Source organism: Homo sapiens, chromosome 17 (assembly GCF_000001405.40).
Source record: "Homo sapiens chromosome 17, GRCh38.p14 Primary Assembly".
Lineage (NCBI taxonomy): Eukaryota > Metazoa > Chordata > Mammalia > Primates > Hominidae > Homo > Homo sapiens.
In genome coordinates this window covers 57,392,008-57,409,769 of record NC_000017.11, presented here as the reverse complement: position 1 = coordinate 57,409,769, position 17,762 = coordinate 57,392,008, and the positions used below count along the sequence as shown (strand labels likewise).

General features: G+C 45.8%; 1 protein-coding gene across 10 annotated transcripts in view, besides 1 other annotated feature; it reads right to left on the bottom strand.

Moving 5' to 3' along the window:
- MSI2 (musashi RNA binding protein 2) overlaps window positions 1-17,762 on the bottom strand; it is a 445,731-nt gene that overhangs the window by 291,812 nt on the left and 136,157 nt on the right. For 9 of the 10 annotated variants that reach the window (NM_001322250.2, XM_047435313.1, XM_047435314.1 and 6 more), the window contains one exon: window positions 8,299-8,391. The exons of the other annotated variant lie outside the window; for it this stretch is intronic. In NM_001322250.2, the coding sequence (NP_001309179.1) occupies window positions 8,299-8,391 (93 nt within the window). The remainder of the gene's footprint in view (window positions 1-8,298; window positions 8,392-17,762) is intronic. 10 annotated transcript variants of the gene reach the window in all.
- Window positions 7,996-8,506: an enhancer, noted in NCBI's record as "H3K27ac-H3K4me1 hESC enhancer chr17:55478625-55479135 (GRCh37/hg19 assembly coordinates)". NCBI's record gives its function as "activates a minimal SCP1, AML or CMV promoter by ChIP-STARR-seq in primed H9 embryonic stem cells {active_cell/tissue: H9 hESC(primed)}" and the evidence as "EXISTENCE:reporter gene assay evidence [ECO:0000049][PMID:30033119]".

The following is a 17,762-nucleotide window of genomic DNA, read 5'->3' as shown; positions in this document are numbered from 1 at the left end:
CCCAAAGTGCTGGGATTACAGGCGTGAGCCACTGTGCCTGTGCCCCACACTCTTTCATCTGTCTCCCACGCACTACTTGTACCAAGTAATCATCAACATTTCATGGTAACAGCCCCTCCATCAGATTCTTCCTTCCTGGAAACATCAATGGTCACACAAACGTCCCACAAAGAAGAAAGGCCCATCACCTAGGCTGCAGAAGGTATGAGTCCTTGTGGCAAATCAAATCCCACTTTGCCAGTAACTCGACTTAGGAAGACAACACAAAATGGAGGAAGAAATGGAAGCAGCATATACAAATTCAATCTATTCCATCTCCTATTTATTTTATGCAAAGTTTTCCTGGTCCTTATTAATGCCGGCTTTCCCTCCGCCATTTAATCTCTGCTTCCATTTCATTCTTAGAGGCCTGTGATTATTCTAATTCAGCATTTGGATGACTTCATTTCCACTCAAGTACACCCAGGTCAACTTGGATAGAAAAGAAAGAGGAGGAGAAGAAAAATAATCAGCTAAAAGCTATTAAATATCAGCCGTGTGCCTCATGATTGGTTTTAAAGGCAGTGGTGAGGTTAGCAACAGTCAGAAACTCAACCCTTTTGCCTCTTCCTGCATATTAACATTTTTTTCTGGGGCTCTCACTAATATGGCTTCGAATGTAAATAAAGTACAGATTGGCAGCCCACTTTTAGCTAATTCACAAATACCAAGTCTGAATATACGGAGCTGTAAAAATTTAGAGGGTGGTAACTTGACAAATCTGGCCGGTCTACAGAGAGACTATTTCTAAGAGGACAAAAGAAGAAAATAAAGAAAGAAAATGGAAGAAAAAGAAAAGCATACAGGACCTGTGTAAGGGGGTATCCTACGGAGGTGGGGGGCGGGTGGGAATCTCCATATCAATGTTCACTCCACCGAACAACAGAGTTCGATTTCAATGCCAAGTCTAAATGAACTGCGCTTTCTCCTCCATAAGAACCACCCCTTGCACCCACTGGCACAAGCTTGAACCATGATTTCTGGTACACTTTCAGTTCCCACTGAACTACATCTAGGGAGAAAAAGGCTTTATTTTCTCCTACTAACAACTCCATTGTTAAGTGACGTCTTCAGAGGGCCCAGGAGGACTCTGGGAAGGTGAGCTGGTGGAAGTACTTCATACCGCCCCCCCGCCCCTACCCACCCAGGGCTCATTAACTCCTTTGTGCCCAAGGGCTCCCCTACCGCTGGCTCTCCTCTCCTTGCCGCAGCAGAAAAAGTAAATACAGCTAAATCATACCAGGAAATGCGGTCAAACAGCAAAGCTGAAGTTTGAGCCTTGTTCTTCTATTCGGCCTTGTTCCTCTACCTACTATGCAAATGCACATGGCATTTGATTAGCACAATCTCAAAGTTTTCCCAGCTTGCTACCCAGAAGGCATCCTAGTTTTCTATTTGTATATTTTAAAACACTGTTAACGAGCAATAATAATGTCTGATGCCTTTGCCTAACAACAGCTGGCTATATTTTATATACTAAGAGGGAAATGGGAAGTTTTCCTAGAAACCCAGTATTTCAGAATCTCCTTTTTGAAGCAAAAATACGAAAATTTAAGAGAAGTAACGTTAGGGTGCTCAATCTTTAGAACTCGACAACCTTACTGGCTTCAGCCGAAATCAGTCTATGGAGGAAAAGTTCACCAGGAAAACACAAAGTTGTTTAGCAGGAGGGTTTACCTGCAAAGCCCCAGGATCATATTACTCATGGGTAAGGTTTGTTTGCCTCTGCCACCTGGCCTAGAAGGTGGAGGAGGCAGAGGAAGCAGGATTCTCCTGTCTACTCGCTGTGCTGTTTCCCACTGAGCAGCTTGGCCAGGGGTCAGGGGGCAAATAAAGTCCCCTCCCCTTATGACACACTTCCAGAGGGAGATGCTGACACAAACCAGGCAGAAGATTAATAAAACATGGGGACAGTGTTGGCTTTGTTCTGGGCTATTAGAGGAAGAAAATTTAAACACAAAAGTAGCCTTCAGCCAGGGAAGAGCGTGCGCATGGTCCTTCCTGGTCCAGCCTACAATTGTCGTTGAAGAAGGTCTGAAGGGCAACACCCAGGCTCTCCAGAAAAAGGTGGAGCAGAGGACAGGGTGAGGCCCGGGAGGCTGACCACTCCCCGGGCAACCCACCTACATGAACCACTTCAGAGGACAAAGCCTCACGGGAGCTCAGATGTCCACAAAGGACACACAAGACTTTTGTTTTCCAAGCCTCCTCTGAGAGAACCACACTGCACAGAGCTCTGTTTATCTACGACACACATTTAAAGCAAGAAAACACTACCTGAGGATCACAGTCCACTCTCAGGCTTATTTATCTTCTCACAGATCTCATGCCTTTTAAATTTCAAAGGGCTTTATGAGACTTTTATTCCAGGTATGACTCTCCTCACACATACAGTATCAAAAGGGGTGTCTGAGTGGGGGCCATGAATGCAGCTTCGCACCTGCACAGAAAACCCCGGAGCTGGGAGATCGCAGGCACCCAGCGCTTCCTCGGGCCTCACTCACCCACAATCGCCCACGCTGGCCGGATAAACGGGAAGGTCTCATTACATTAAAAAAAACAATTCACTCTTGTTTTCTTTTTTTCTTCCCCTAAAAAGCTTTCACACACCATTCTCCAGAGCTCAAGTTAACTTTTATGGGCCCCCACACAACCCCAATCCGACACAAAGGGCTCCAAGGACCCTTTCACCTGGTTTCCACAGCGATCTCCCACTTTGACGAGACCTCAAGAGCTGTAACTTTCCACGCCGGTTCCTGGAAGGCCTTTTCTTCCCGGCCACCACAGTGAGGGGCTGGCACAGGAAGGGGTTAAAGCCCTCATGTCAAACCACAAACTCAGGCACTGGCCCAGAAGGGACATGGGAACCAGAGCAGCCCGTGATAAAGGCCGGATTGTAGCAGCCCACTGAATTGGAAATGACTTGTAGGCCTAATGAAACAGAACTTTGGCAGTAACACAGAATGAAAGGAATGAGACAATAAAAGGCAGGAACAAAGGGTGCAGAGTCGTTTCAGCTTAGCAAAATAAGCTCACTTTGTTGTTGGGGAAAGCCAAAGCCGATTAGGATAAACCAATGACTAAGCATAAGTCTTCCAAACTAATTACACAGTTCACCATGTGAAGTATAATTGGAAGCCTCCAAATGCGGGCTGCTTTGCTTTCACAGGAGTTCTAGAAAGCGAGAATTACCTAGCGAGCTCGGCACTGAGCTGCCCTATCATTCCCGGGAACAGCTGAAAGGTGCGGAACGGCTCCATCCGGGACGAAGCGGAGAATTCATTAAGTTTAAAGGCCTCTTTTTGATCTCCAAAATCCTATAAGTGAGAATTTAAGAAACCGGTACTTGAAGGAGGGGCCTGAAGGGGAGAAGGAGGAAGCCCGTGTGTGTGGAGTTTCTTTGATCCAGTGCATTTTAATTACCAGGCTGGGCTCTTCCGGGTGGCTCTGCCGGGAGAACAGTGCAGAACAGGCCGCCTCGTCGCCAGGGTCTACACGGGCATATCTGGAGCATCATTTACCTGCCATTTTTTGGAATGGCCTATATACATCATTCCTGTGTGTATGGAATCAGGAACACAGATAACGTCCACTAAGAAACCCAGGGCAGTAAAACAAATTACTGTATATCAACGTTTTTGACAAATGAACAAAACCTGCTCCTTCTGAGAAAGATGCTGCTTGGTGGTAAAGTGGGAGGTGGGGCTTTATAAAAGTAAAAAGAGGCGAAGGGTAGGTTGTGCACAAACAAGTGACTATCCAGGCTCTCCTCAGCATGGGCTGAGTGATCTTGGAGAACTTCCTCACCTTTCTCAACATCAGCCTCACCACCTACATAATAGATCTGCCAACCATCTCACTTGACACCCTTGAGAAGCACATTGTAAAATGCATTAGAAAGCTTAGCACCAGTAACTCCAATTCAGAAACAGCGCACAGTAAAAGGATCTTCATAGTAAAACCTGGACCTCAAAAATTCCGAGTGTCATTAATTACATCTAGCTGGTGAAATAGGGAGATGGAAATACTATAACAGTTTTTCTGGCTCTTACTCATAGGATGAAGTTCCAGTTTATAAATAGTGGCTTTTTCCAAATAAAGAATCCCTTCACTGTCCCTGCGTCATGAAGTCCCAAAATAAACTCTAACATGGTTTAGACTGCTGATTATATACCATGCTTATTACTACTGACAACGTATTATTTTGGTTATAGCCTATAGATACCTTAGATTATAATCTATCCATCCTATTAATGTTTGAATACTTTCTACATTACTGACTTTTCAAGCTTAAAACTAACCTCAGGAATAATTCAGTCCAGGGGTCAGCAAACTATGGTCCACAGACCAAATCTGGTTCATCACCTGTTTTTGTAAATAAAGTTTTATTGGCACACAACTACATGCATCTGTTTACCTGCTGGTGATGGCTGCTTTCATCCTACAAGAGCAGAAGTGAGTAGCTGCAACAAGGACTACATGGATTGCAAAGCTGCAAATATTTAATATCTGGCCCTTTTTAAGTTTTCCAACCCCTTCCCTGAGAAGAGAAGCCGAGGCCAGCAAAGGAACAACCCATCAGGCTGTCCCAGGGAGGTCAGTCCACTGTTAGGCCCAGCATGAAGCCCTGGAGTATCTGCTGCCTTACCCTTCTCCAAGGACAGACAACCCCGGAACAGCTACCCAGGGGTGGGAATGCCATCTTCACCCCTGGGTAGCTCATGGTGACGTGTGGATTCTGCCAACCTGTTAGCTGTTAACCTCAGTTGGCAGAGTCCTTATGCCAGTGGCCACGCTTCGTGACCTGATCTTAAATATAAACAAGTAACAACATCTCTAACCTTGGGGAGAGGGGGTGTGTTTTCTGGGAGGAAGGTGGAAGAAAAACACAAAAGGGTTTACAAGCCTCCAATTTAAGTTATTTAAAGCTCCCGGTGTGTCACTCTGTACCCACTCCACTTACAGTAATGACATATTTAAACTCCCTTAGCTCAGCCCCTTGATAGCAGTCTTACCCATCTTGATTGCCACCTGAAATAAACAGTTGGAGAAGCTGCCACCTCGGGCAGGATGGGATGAGGGAGAGGAGAGAGGAATGACGGCAAGGAGACCTAAAAAGAGAGTGGTACACCTTGCATGGAAGCTGTGAAAGGAAAGTTCTAGACTTGGAGGAAAAGGAAGTAGGGTATGAATTCTGGCTCTTACACTGTCTTACCTGGGTGACCTCTGCTGACACTCAGCCTCCCTGGCCCTGACTGTCTACCTTCGCCAAATAGACTGGAGGATACCAATATCTGCTGCACAGGTAAAATGAGGTGATGAATGTCCAGGTCCCCAGCACTCCGGGGCACACTGAAGGGCACAATATCTTCCTGTCCTTTGCATCTTGCCCATCGTCAGTCCATCTTGGGGACTGATCAGCAGTTGGCACAGGGTGCAGAGTTCAGATGCTGTTATCAGACAAGCCTGGAGGGGGAGTCCACACCCAGCTCTACCTCCTGGAGAGCTGTGACCTTGAGTCCAAGAGACAATCCCATCAAGACCCCACTTAACAGTCTACAACATGGAGAATACCACTACCAGCCCCCCAGAGAAAAATTAAATGAGATAATGTGAGTAAATGGCCTGGCCTAGTATCCCACACTTTGCACTCGCATACACCTCATTAAATTGCAGTTGGTTAAAGAGAGTCAAAAACAATTTCATACAGTTAGAAATGTGTGTGCACAGGGGGTGTACACATGTGTGTGAATATACTTCATGCAAGTGTGTGTGTGTGTGTGTGTGTGTGTGTGTGCACATTCATTCTGTTTCCTTCAACCAGAGTATAAAGTACCGAAGGGGAGAGGCAGTCTGTCAATTTACCTGTTACCTCCTTTCACAACCACTGGATTTAATCATTGTAGTGCTCCCAAGGCCCAGCAGCAGAGTCTCCCTGACTTTGATCATTCTGGATTCAAATAAGTTATGCCAGAATCCTGAGAGGTGGTGAGTCCTGCCCAAGGGGACACACACAGTAACACAAGCCACCAGCCAAATGAGAAATAAGCCATTCTGCAGACAGACACAAATAATGCACAGAACCTATGTATGAAAAAAAAGCTACTAAAATATGAGCATTGAAGAGCATTATGGCTTTGATACATTCAAAAGCCTCTTTGGTCTTTTAATAAAACACTTGATAAGTCTGCACATCCTGCCAGAGTCCACAAACATTACTGCAAAATTAACTGGGCAGCTTCAGACCCAGCGAGTGCCATGCCAGGGAAGATGGTTTGTGACTGCTTCTCAGACAAAAGGACAACTGTTCTAAGGGCAGCAATGGTGGCCACTGTGGGCATGGCCAAAGCTTGCAGTGTGTCTTACTGGAGGCATACTGGGTCACAATGATAAGTGTTAATGAAAAACAACAGAGAGAGAAACAGAAATACAGAAAGGAAGAAAGAGAGAGAGAGAGACAGAAAGAAACCAAGGGTTGGGGACGTGCAGAGATGTGCTATGTGTTGGCAAGTAGAAGCCTGTCTGGAATACTCTAAAAGCCCATCTGGGCAGCACCGACTTTTCTGACACAAATAGGCCCATGAGATTCCAAGGCAGGTTATGGCTCGAAAAAGAAATCCCACTTCATGTTTGCAAACACTACCCCTGGACTTGTTTTAAAAGCAGAAAGATAGCAAAGAGGGCTCACCCTCCAGAGCTTTCCATTATGCAAGCCGGACCTGTCTCATTTAATTATTTCCAATCCCTCTCCCTAGGCAGGGTGGGGCTGGGTGATGGACAAATCCCCCTTACTGCTTTACATCAGTCTGGAAGAGAGAAGTGCTATAACGTACACAGTCATCAACACACTTGGCTATTCTTTAGACCCAGCCAGAATGAATCCATCCCCAGCTGACAATACCAGAAAGGGCCATGGGGGAGGCCTTTTCAAAACCAACCTGGAAGGGCAGCTCAGAGCCACTCAGAATGCAAGGCTGGGCTGGAGGAGGCTGGCTTCTCTTTGTTGCACGGTCTCCTATCCAGGCAGAAATTAATACCAGAGACAAGAACATCTCCATTTTGAGGCTGAATAAAGGTCATGGCCCTCATCCCAGACAGTAGTTCACAAACAGACACACCTGGGGACAGGGTCATAGCTGCCTATCACCCTGGGCAAACCAACAGCACAGAACCTTCAGCCTGGCCAGTGGGTGGCTGTGCCTTTGTACCCATGGCAAGCACGACACCCATCGTGGGAGGAAACAAGTGATGGAGCTTAGCACGGGCACTGTGTCTTCTCAGGACGCCTCAGCAGCTCTCTCCCATGTCAGCCCTTCAGCAGGGAAGACCCAAACCTGTCAGGAGGAGACTGTCCCAGACCTGGGCTCCCACGCGATGTCCACAATTACTCAAAGATGCAGGACGCAGCCTCCTTGAACCTGCCATTTCCACAGGGGCCAGAGGAGGGTGGTATACACAAAAGCCAACAAGGGTCAGCCCTCCTAAGGCAACAGGGCCATCTGAGGAATGTGTCATCCTCAGCAAGAACCCACTCTCAAGGCACCATCTCCCTTCACCCACTAGAAAGAGGCCGAATTAAACACCTCACCCACGGTGACATGTCCTATCAGTCGGTCTGACTCTCTATCATACACACACCTTCTCACACTCTGTTTCCTGGCTGCTGTGGGGCTCTTGGGTTGGTCCCAGCCTGTTCCAGAAGCAGAGCCCAGGGGGTAATTTTACTGCTGTCTCACAGACATTCAGGTCAGAGAATGCTGACAGGTACAGGCCTCGCATGGTTTCCGAGTCTCCTTGGGCATTTGACAGGGGAGGGTTCAGCTGCAAAGGGCCCCAGGGAGACTCAGCTCTCAATGCATTTTCCAAACAGGCACAGAAGGGAGAAGCCCAGCACCAACCTGCAGGCCTCTAGCAGCTTCCATGGGAGCTCCTGCCCTGCGAGTCACAGCCCCACATCCCTCCCCAGCTGCCGTCACCACCAGCTCCCAGCCCAGGCCCCGTGTGGCCAGCAAATGCCCGCAAAACTGCACTAAAAGGCCACTCTGTCTGCTCCTGCCAGCACGTGGGACATCACACCAAATGCAAGCCAGACTCTTCCATCTCAGCTTCTGCTGAATTTCACTTAAATCATGATGGCCAGGTTCAAGGACAAGGTTCTTGAGGACACAGCTGTAGCAGGGGCGGGGGCCACGGTAGCCTCTTCTTAGGACTGATGAGGCTACTTCTGGCATGTGCCATCCAACCCCATCCAGCGCTTACCTTGCCAAACTGCTCGAAATATTGCTTTACATCTTCCACTACTGTGTTCGCAGATAACCCGCCTACAAATATTTTCTTTGTTCTTGTGACCATCTGCAAGAAATGACAAGAGAAAGGCATGGGTTAACCAGGTTATCTAAAGCAGGGCTCAAGAGGCTGCTGAAACAATCTGCTCTCCACATTTCTCTAGGAAGGCAATTTTAGATATATTCAAGCTGCATGGCGCGGGCGTTTAGATGTCTAAGGATGCTAGAGACAGTCACTCTGCATATCTCAGGCATTCAGATGGCAACCTAAAAGCTTGAGTTTCATACAGACACAGAGACTTCAGAACCTCATTAGCCACAACACGCAACTTCATTCTGATGGACTAGCAAAAAGAGAAAAATCACATGTCAAGCTATTTTAAAGCTAAGAGACGTGAACAAAACAGACCCAAATGCATAAAAACTGCTGCCCAGAAACCATCCACAAAACCTGTCAATAAGAAATGCACACGATTCAAAAGTACGCACAGGCTGTCTACGCTGAGCTGTTTGTGCTTGGTGCTGGTATACGTCTGCAAGCAACACAGACGCTGACCTCGCACCTGGAGACCACCCTGCAAGCTTTGTCCAGGATTCCTCCTCCTGATTTCCTGTGATTCATCTTGATTCACCCTGCACCCAGTCAAGCCCAGCTAATCCCCAGATCCCTACACTTTCGTTCCTGCAGGTCCTTCTCCTTGGGGTGCCTCTCCACTCCTGAACCTAACTACGGCAAGTTGTAACCTTCCTCCAGGATCCAGCACCTTTCTCCAAAATTCAAAATAGTTATTTATCAATCCAGCCAGGAGTTAGTCCACCCTTTTCTGAAACCCCCTAACAGTGTCTCCATATCCCTGTCTTAACACTCACTGCTCTCCACCTTGTGTGAAGTTACTTCCTCCTCCAGACAATAAGCTCTTGACTCCTCTACAAATCCTCCACCAGGCCAGGCACAGCGTCAGGCACATAGAAACCAACACTGAATGTTTTGTAGATGTACGTGTGAAAAAATGTGGCCACATTTCCAAATCCTACCAGCTCCAAAGCCAAAGGAGTAGGAAGCTCAATGACATTAACTGCTCAGAGTGGAGACCAAAATCTTACATGTAGGAGCCAAAAATCAAGAAAAATTTCTTTCTAAAGACTGAGTTTAGGCTATGTGCCATTTTAGTTTTACTGTCACAATAAAAAAAAAAAAGGAGAATGACATTAACTGTTCAGAGTGGGAACCAAAATCTTACACGTAGGAGCCAAAATCAAGAAAATAAATTTCGTTCTAAAGACTGAGTTTAGGCTATGTGCCATTTTAGTTTTACTGTCACAATACAAAATTGTAGAATTTGATGGGTGAGGGTCTGACCAGTTTGTTGGCATATAATCAACACACAATGTCATCTGTTTCTACTGCAACTCGATGTGATGTAGGATGCTGAAGCATAGGAGCCATGGCTGCCCGGGTCAGTCATCACAGAGGCTCCCGGCGTATCTGCTGAGTGAATGAGTGAACCGACCCACCTCAACAGGAGCCTGAGGTGAGTGACACCAGGGGGCACAGTGGTTACTGGCAGGCTGTGCTGTAGGGCACTGGAAATCCAGCTCCTGGGTCTAACTCTGGGTGTGACCCTGGGCAGGACTCACTTCCTCCTAGGTATGAGTTTTCTGCAGCACGAGATGCTGGGTCAGGGCTCCAAGGTCCCACCTAATGCCCGATTCCCATGAATCCATGAGCATCATAGCCATGATGCAGAGAGGCTTGCAGACTCCAGGGAGCTCTTGCTTTAGCTTAGTAGCTCCCACAGAAGACACATGCCACCATAGCCTGCTGGTTGACCCCAAACTTGGAGCTCGTAGACTCCAGGGAGCTCTTGCTTTAGCTTAGTAGCTCCCACAGAAGACACATGCCACCATAGCCTGCTGGTTGACCCCAAACTTGGAGCTCGTAGACTCCAGGGAGCTCTTGTTTAGCTTAGTAGCTCCCACAGAAGACACATGCCACCACAACCTGCTGGTTAACCCCAAACTTGAATATCCTTGTCATGGACGTTCCACAGTGTTTTAAGAGGACATTATTCTAACAACTCAGTATACCACCTACTCCCTACTTCCTTCTGCCCATTAGAACCAAGCAGTGGCTTGCTCATGTGTTTAAAGCTGGGATTGACTGTTTTTTCACCTCTTTTCAGATGAATGGGGGATTAGATGAGATAGTGCATGTGAAAAATTCTATGAAGATCCCACCACTGTGCACAGCACTGAGCTCCAAGTACCTCTCATGACCTGGTTGGCCTCTTATGCTCACTCATTATTGTCCATCTCCCTTCTCACCCATTCCTTAAGTCTCCCTGGTAAATCGAGGTCACTTGAATGGCAAAATTCCATCAAGCCCTTTCCAGATTTAAATCTGTCCCTACACTCATGAATCACCAAATTTTACTAATCTAACTTTGCTAATGTATTCATTCAACAGATACATTAAGTGCGAGGTGCTGGAGCTTACATTCTAATAGAATGTGGAATGTAATCCACTATAAAATGAAGATATAATGATTAGCCCTTTCCAGATTTACATCTGTCCCTACACTCATGAATCACCAAATTTTACTAATCTAACTTTGCTAATGTATTCATTCAACAGATACATTAAGTGCGAGGTGCCGGAGCTTATATTCTAATAGAATGTGGAATGTAATCCACTATAAAATGAAGATATAATGATTAGCCTACCATACAAGGTTCCTATCAGGAGTAAATTAAGTAATGTATGCCAAGTGTCTAGCAGGGCACTGTGTAGTCGCTAAATAAATGGTCACTGTAACTGACCAAAGTCAGTTACTAGACTCATCTTTCAAGCTCAGAACCAAACACGCAGCGAAAAGACACATTACACAAAAACGTGTCTTTGAAAAGGCATCTCTTACTGTCCTATTGTCTTCCACTATAATTTCAAAAACACTTTCCTGCATCTCTACATGCTTTCAGATGGGCAGAGATTCCCAATAGTTTAATTTTAGATTTTTCATTCCTTTTTTTCCCTTACCCCAGCCAAGTAATTAAATGTCTGTAAAGAAACACTAACGTGATCTACCAACATACACTAGTAGAGTTCTCAATTTGAAGAAACTCTGGAGAGCCATACTATAATCTGAACCCCATGGTCTCATTTATACACTGTTTAGAGTCGGGCGGGTATACAGCAGCCCTGTCTATATTCCAAACGTTCATGTGGTCCCAGAGAATTCAACAAACAACATGTCTTCATTCCAAATAACAGAAGTCAACAGATTGTTCATTCCCCAATAACTGGTGAAATGAAAATATCTCTTCATACACCCTCCACCGTTGCCTTATAGCCATAAACCTGCCTAGCCAGAGCCCTAAACACAGAGGCAGCCATTCAGCTATAAATCTACACAGTCCCCAAAAGGCCTTTAAAACACCTTTTTTTAAAAAAGGATGAGAAATTCCAGGTCCCAGACAATGCACCAAAGTGTCCAAGTTACTAAAACATCCTCTCCAGGGACCAGCTCAGATACAGTGATGGATCCCACTCCTCAGCAAACACTGAAAGAAACTGTTTTAATCAAAACCTTCCAAACGTGAAAAGGCCAGTGGAAACATGGGCAACCCTTGGTTAGCTGCTCACCAGTGTCTCGGCTTTAGGAGAAGGGGGCACAGCTATGGGGGCGACAGGGCTGTGCACAGTGACCTCTCCCGCCAGGGGCATGCTGGGGGAAATGGAAGTGATTTACTTTGAGAATGCTGCCAGCATGACTGCCAAATGGACTGTGGCCTGCTCCACAATTTGCATTCTGGTGAGGGACACGAGAGGCAGAGAACCCTAGAGTCACACATTCTTCTCTCGGTTTCCTTGCCATCTCCATGGCTACTGAGGAGGGCAGGAAGGGGATGGGGCTGGGATGTTGTGTCCTGACTTTCAGTGGGACTAAATGGAGGTCCTCGAATTCCCATCAATACTATGCAAGGTTTCTATGGACACGTGAGGGTGCACACACATGTATATGCACATGCATGGGTGTGTGTTTGGGTCAACTCCAGTCCCACTCCTTGAGTCTTGGCTTCCATTTACCTAAGGAACCATTCAGTATCCCTGGAACTTTAAACCTGGATACAGTGAGAAGGCTGGACAAGGCAGGCCCCCGGGTTCTATACTCCTTTTGGGTTATAAAAAAACAAAAATCCTCTTTACCCAGTGAAGAGAGAGCCACCTGTTTTCCTCCTAGGATAGGCCCTTCAGGTAACTGTTTCCTAACCTGCAGCCTTAATACCAGTAGAGTACCCATACAGGGTACAGGGAAGCAGCCACTGCATCCCAAAATGCTCAGATGGCCCCACTCAGCTCCACAGTGAACTGAGATGGAGAGCTACCCATCTGTTTCAGGGAGCTCAGTCCAAAATCCATTAGGAAATTGATCTTAAATTTCCTTTGCTTGGAGTTTTAGTGGAGAGGTTGCGGATAACATTTTGGTATGTGAGTGCTTCCCACCATTAGAGACACCAGATACCTACCCGACAGCCTTGCACCATGTGGGGACAGCCCCCTCTCCCAGCAGGCGCCCCTCCTTTTATGGTTTAAGGTGTCACTCTGGGAAGCAGGAGGTGTCCGTGTGCATGTGTGCGTGTGTGCGCTCTTGCCTGTGTGCACAAAGGGCAGTGGGGAGTGTTCAGGCTCTCACAAATCATTGCTGGAAAGTTCTGCATCTAGACCTGTAATTTAACTAAACACCGCTGCTCTCCACATACCCCTTGGCTCCATAAAGAAAACCCCAGCACCCATTCCCGTTTGGAAAATTGCTGTTTACACGTAAGAACTGGCCAAAGCCAGTACTAACCAGAGCTGCAAAGAGCACTCCACCTCCCTGCCTCTAAACAGAGAGCTGGCTTTTTGAGTTAAAAAAAATTCCCTTTTAAAAAATGTGTTTGCATCAGAAACGGTCACTAGGAATGGGACCACTGTTTGTATTTTTATAAAATAGGATAAAGCAAATGGGATGTGTGTGTGTGTGTGTGTGTGGTGTGTGTGCTGTGTGTGTTTTGTGTGTGTGTTGAAGGCAGAGTGGGGTAAGGGGAGGTTAGAAAAGAGAAACTACTTTTAAAAATGAGATTAAAGGGAAAACTTAATTCCAACAGCACTGGCCTAAAGATATTCATTATCACACAAGGAAAACAAAAACAAAACAAACACCAAAAAAACCAAATATTTCTTAATCAGAACAAATACATGAAAAGGCAGGAAATGGCTCTGGAGAGCCTTAAATGAGTATGAGAAAGGCCCACAGGAATTAAATCAGCTCTGGCTATTATCATGTTCCTTAAAAGAGTTCAAATTCCCCATGATGAAAAAATGTAAGCCATCTTCACTCCCCAAGAACACAGGCTTGTTTGCAGATGATGCCTCATCTGTGGGAACCCCAAGGTGGAGAAAGCCCAGGAAAGATGTTAAAATGCTAGCACTGGGTAGGATGCTGCAAACCTTCTAGTTCATCCTCCCCATTGTGCGGATGGAAAAGTCAAGTCAATGAGATGACTCGCATGCTAGTTAAAGGCAAGGCAGGTAGTTAGGAGGACAGCTTTCCCAGGCTCAGACAAGGGCTCTGTCTATTACCCCATCCTGTCCAGTGACACTGAAGAACAAAAGTGCTCACCAAATTCAGAATCCAGGATGAAATCCTATGTATCTGCCAATGTGGCAGTCTTCTCCTATCAGTCTGCATTTGAGAATTAAGTCCAATCTTTGTATGCCAGACCCACGAGCAGGGCTGCCTGAGATCACAGAACTCCCGAACACCAAGACTCCATTCCCCAAGGTGTTTCATTCAAGGTACCTCCCCTCTAAAATCCCTACTTCTCCCCATATTTTTCCCATCCTCCCTCACCCTCACAACTGCCAATACTACCATTCTTGCCACCACCAACTCTACCACCATCACCCTCGGAGCCACCCTCCTGCCACCTTCATCACTACCATAACTACTATCACCATCACATCTGAATCCAGTGGCAAACTTACTTAGCTTGCAAAGTCAGAACACAGGTCAGGTATTGGGCATCTTCTCCAACTGTTTCTAGGATCACATGTGGAAAAGAGACTGGGTTGGATCAAAAAGAGTTCCTCCAAAATTCGTGTCCATCTAGAATTTCAGAAAGTGACCTTATTTGGAAACAGGGTCTTTACAGATGTAATTAGTTAAGAATCTTGAGATGAAGTTATCCTGGACATAGGGTAAGCCCTAAATCCAGTAACGGGTGTCCTTCTAAGAAGAGGACAAACAGACACAGAAAGAAGGTGGCCATGTGCAGATGAAGGCAGGGCCTTGAGTGATGTGCCTGCAAACCAAGGAACACCAAGAATTGCGGGCAACCACCAGAAGCTAGGAGAGAGGTATGGGACAGTTTTTCCCATGGAGCCTCCAGAGGGAACCAGTCCTGCTGACACTTTGATTTCAGACTTCTGAACTCTTGAACTATGAAAGACTATATTTCTATTTCTTAAACCACTCAGTGTGTGGTAATTTGTTACAGCTGTCCCACAAAACTAATACAGAGATCTATTCGGGAGAAGCGCAAGGACACCACTGCCTTGACCTCACCTTTTTTTGGTGACAGCAGAGCCACAGTCCACATGGAAACTCTATCAATTATGGGGGAAGAGGGCATCACACCCACCCAAGCAAGGCAAGTCACGCCCACTGGCAGAGGCCACAGGGAGGACATCTCTGCTTTAAATGGTCAAATGACACCTGTCTTGAGGTGAAGAATGGGAAGGACAAAGCCACCTGTAAGGAGAAGCAACCCAAAGGTGACACAAGGATTCAAGTTCCTCTGATAAAAACACATGATGAAAGTAAGGCCAGAGTTTACGCAAGGGCAGGCTCCTGCCTAATAAAATCTGAGCTGTTGAGATATACTTTTCCCCTATGGAAAAGCCCTTTTACTGGTGTGTCTGCTTCCCTGCCTAGAATTCTCTGCCCTCACTGTAGATCATCTGTGGGCCAGGCCTGAGGTATGCACTTCCCATGAGTTGCCTGACTTAGTCCTCATGTCAATCTTATGGCAGGTCCCAGCCACTCTTCCACAGATAAGGAAACCAAGACTCAGAAATGTTAAGCATCCAAAATCAAACAGCGTATGGAGTGACAAATGGAGAAGCCAAATCTTGCCCTTCCTATTCACTGCTCTAACACCTTCATTTGCTACTGTGTCATCTTCTTTCTTTCCATAAGAAAAAAAACAATTGGAAAAAGGGGAGGATTGAGGGCACCATAAGGAGCAGGTATGTCTTCACCTTTTCTAATTTTGCAGCAAAGATGCAAAAATGACAAGCCAGATCTTCCTGGTGGAAATTTAAAATAGTGCAGCTGCTTTGGGAACAGTCTGGCAACTCCACAAATGATTAAACACAGCGTTGTCTGTCAACTCCACAAATGATTAAACATAGTGTTACCAGGCTGGGCATGGTGGCTCACACCTGTAATCCCAGCACCTTGGGAGGCCAAGGCAGGTGGATCACCTGAGGTCAGTAGTTTGAGACTAGCCTGGCCAACATGGCAAAACCCCATCTCTACTAAAAATACGAAAATTAGCTGGGCATGGTGGTGCACGTCTGTAATCCCAGCTACTTGGGAGGCTGAGGCAGGAGAATCACTTGAACCCGGGAGGCGGAGGTTACAGTGAGCCAAGATCGTGCCATTGCACTCCAGCCTGGGTGACAAGAGTGAAACATCTCAAAAATAAATAAATAAATAAATAAATAAACAAACATAGTGTTACCATATGATCCAGCAATTCCGCTCCTTAGTATATGCCCAAGAGAAATTAAAACCTATGTCCACCCAAAAACTTTTACACAAGTGTTCATGGCAGCAACAGCCAAAAAATAGAACAACCCAAATATCCATCAACAGACGAATGGATAAACAAAATGTGGTACATCCATAAATAGAATATTATTCAACTGTAAAAAGGAACGAGGTACTGACACATGCTGCAACATGGATGAACCTTGAAAGCGTTATGCCAAGTGAAACAAGCAAGACACAGAACATCACGTATTACAGTTTGGGTATCCCTTATCTGAAATGTGTGGAACCGGAAGTGTTTCAGATTTCAAATGTTTTTGGATTTTGGGATATTTGCATTATACTCAATAGTTCAGCATCTCTAATTCAAAAATCAAAAATCTGAAATGCTCCAACGAGCATTTCCCTTGAGCACCATGACAGCACTCAAAAAGTTTCAGATTTTTGAGCATTCTGGATTTTGGATTTTCAGATTAGGGATCTTCAACCTGTATTTGATTCCATCCAAATGAAAGTCCATAATAGGGAAATCTGTAGAGACAGCAGGTAAATTAGTAGTTGCATAGAGCCAGGGGAGAGGGAGGGAGTGATGGCTAAAGGGTATGCGGTTTCTTTTTGAGGTGATAAAAATGCTCTAAAATTGACTGTGGTGATGGGTGCACATATCTGTGAATATACTAAAATCCATTGAATTGCACCATTTTAAATGAGTGAATTATATGGTATTTGAATTATATCTCAATAAAGCTGTCAAAAAAAAATGACAGGCCAGAGAGATCCCTAAGCCAAGAGTCTGAATGCAAAAATGACTTAAAATAAGCCCACATGTCCAAGAAAGTGTGCCTGCCCACCATTCCCACCGCTTCGTCTCTCATCAATTCCACAGGCCTCAGGTCACCCACAGGTGACCACTGGAAAAAGGTATAACAATATTTTACGTTGCCGATTGCTAAAATTAATTTAACTTCAAAGGAAACTAATTACAAATATAACCCCAAATGTTCCTCCAAGTTCTCCCTCCCTGTATATAGCTATTAGCCAGAGAGCACCAGGGTTCAAGCTACAATTTGGCCTTCCCTCTAAATAGCTTTAAAATTGGAAGGAAAAAAATAGCCCTCGCCTATATGGAGCTGGAATATAATTCACACACAATTATACAACATAGTCAGGGCACAACGTTACCTCTGATTAAAACAACAGAAACTCACCTACAGGAGAAGGTGATCTTGTAATGAAATGATCAGGATGCTTCGGCTGGGAGCTGAAGCTCCCCACCCTCATCTCAGAGCTCTCTACCTGGCTCCCTCCTAGGCTAATTTAAAAAATACTACTTCCTCTTACCCTAGGGAAAAAGCCGCAGCCACAGGGGTGACCTGTCCACAGATTACTATCAGAGAGTAATATCCTAAACAGTAGCACTGACTCCTATTGGGGGCTGGGGGAGGTAACCGACAAAGGTAGAGAGATGAGGGCTGCCTTGGAAAGCACAGGAAATTAAGGATCATGATCCCTGCATCAAGCGCTGCAGAGCGAGGTGGCTGGCTAGCCGTCATTCCGATCACAGGCACCCAGGCTGCTCTGCATCTGCAGGCGGTTTCTCCATCACTCCATCCCTCTGGGA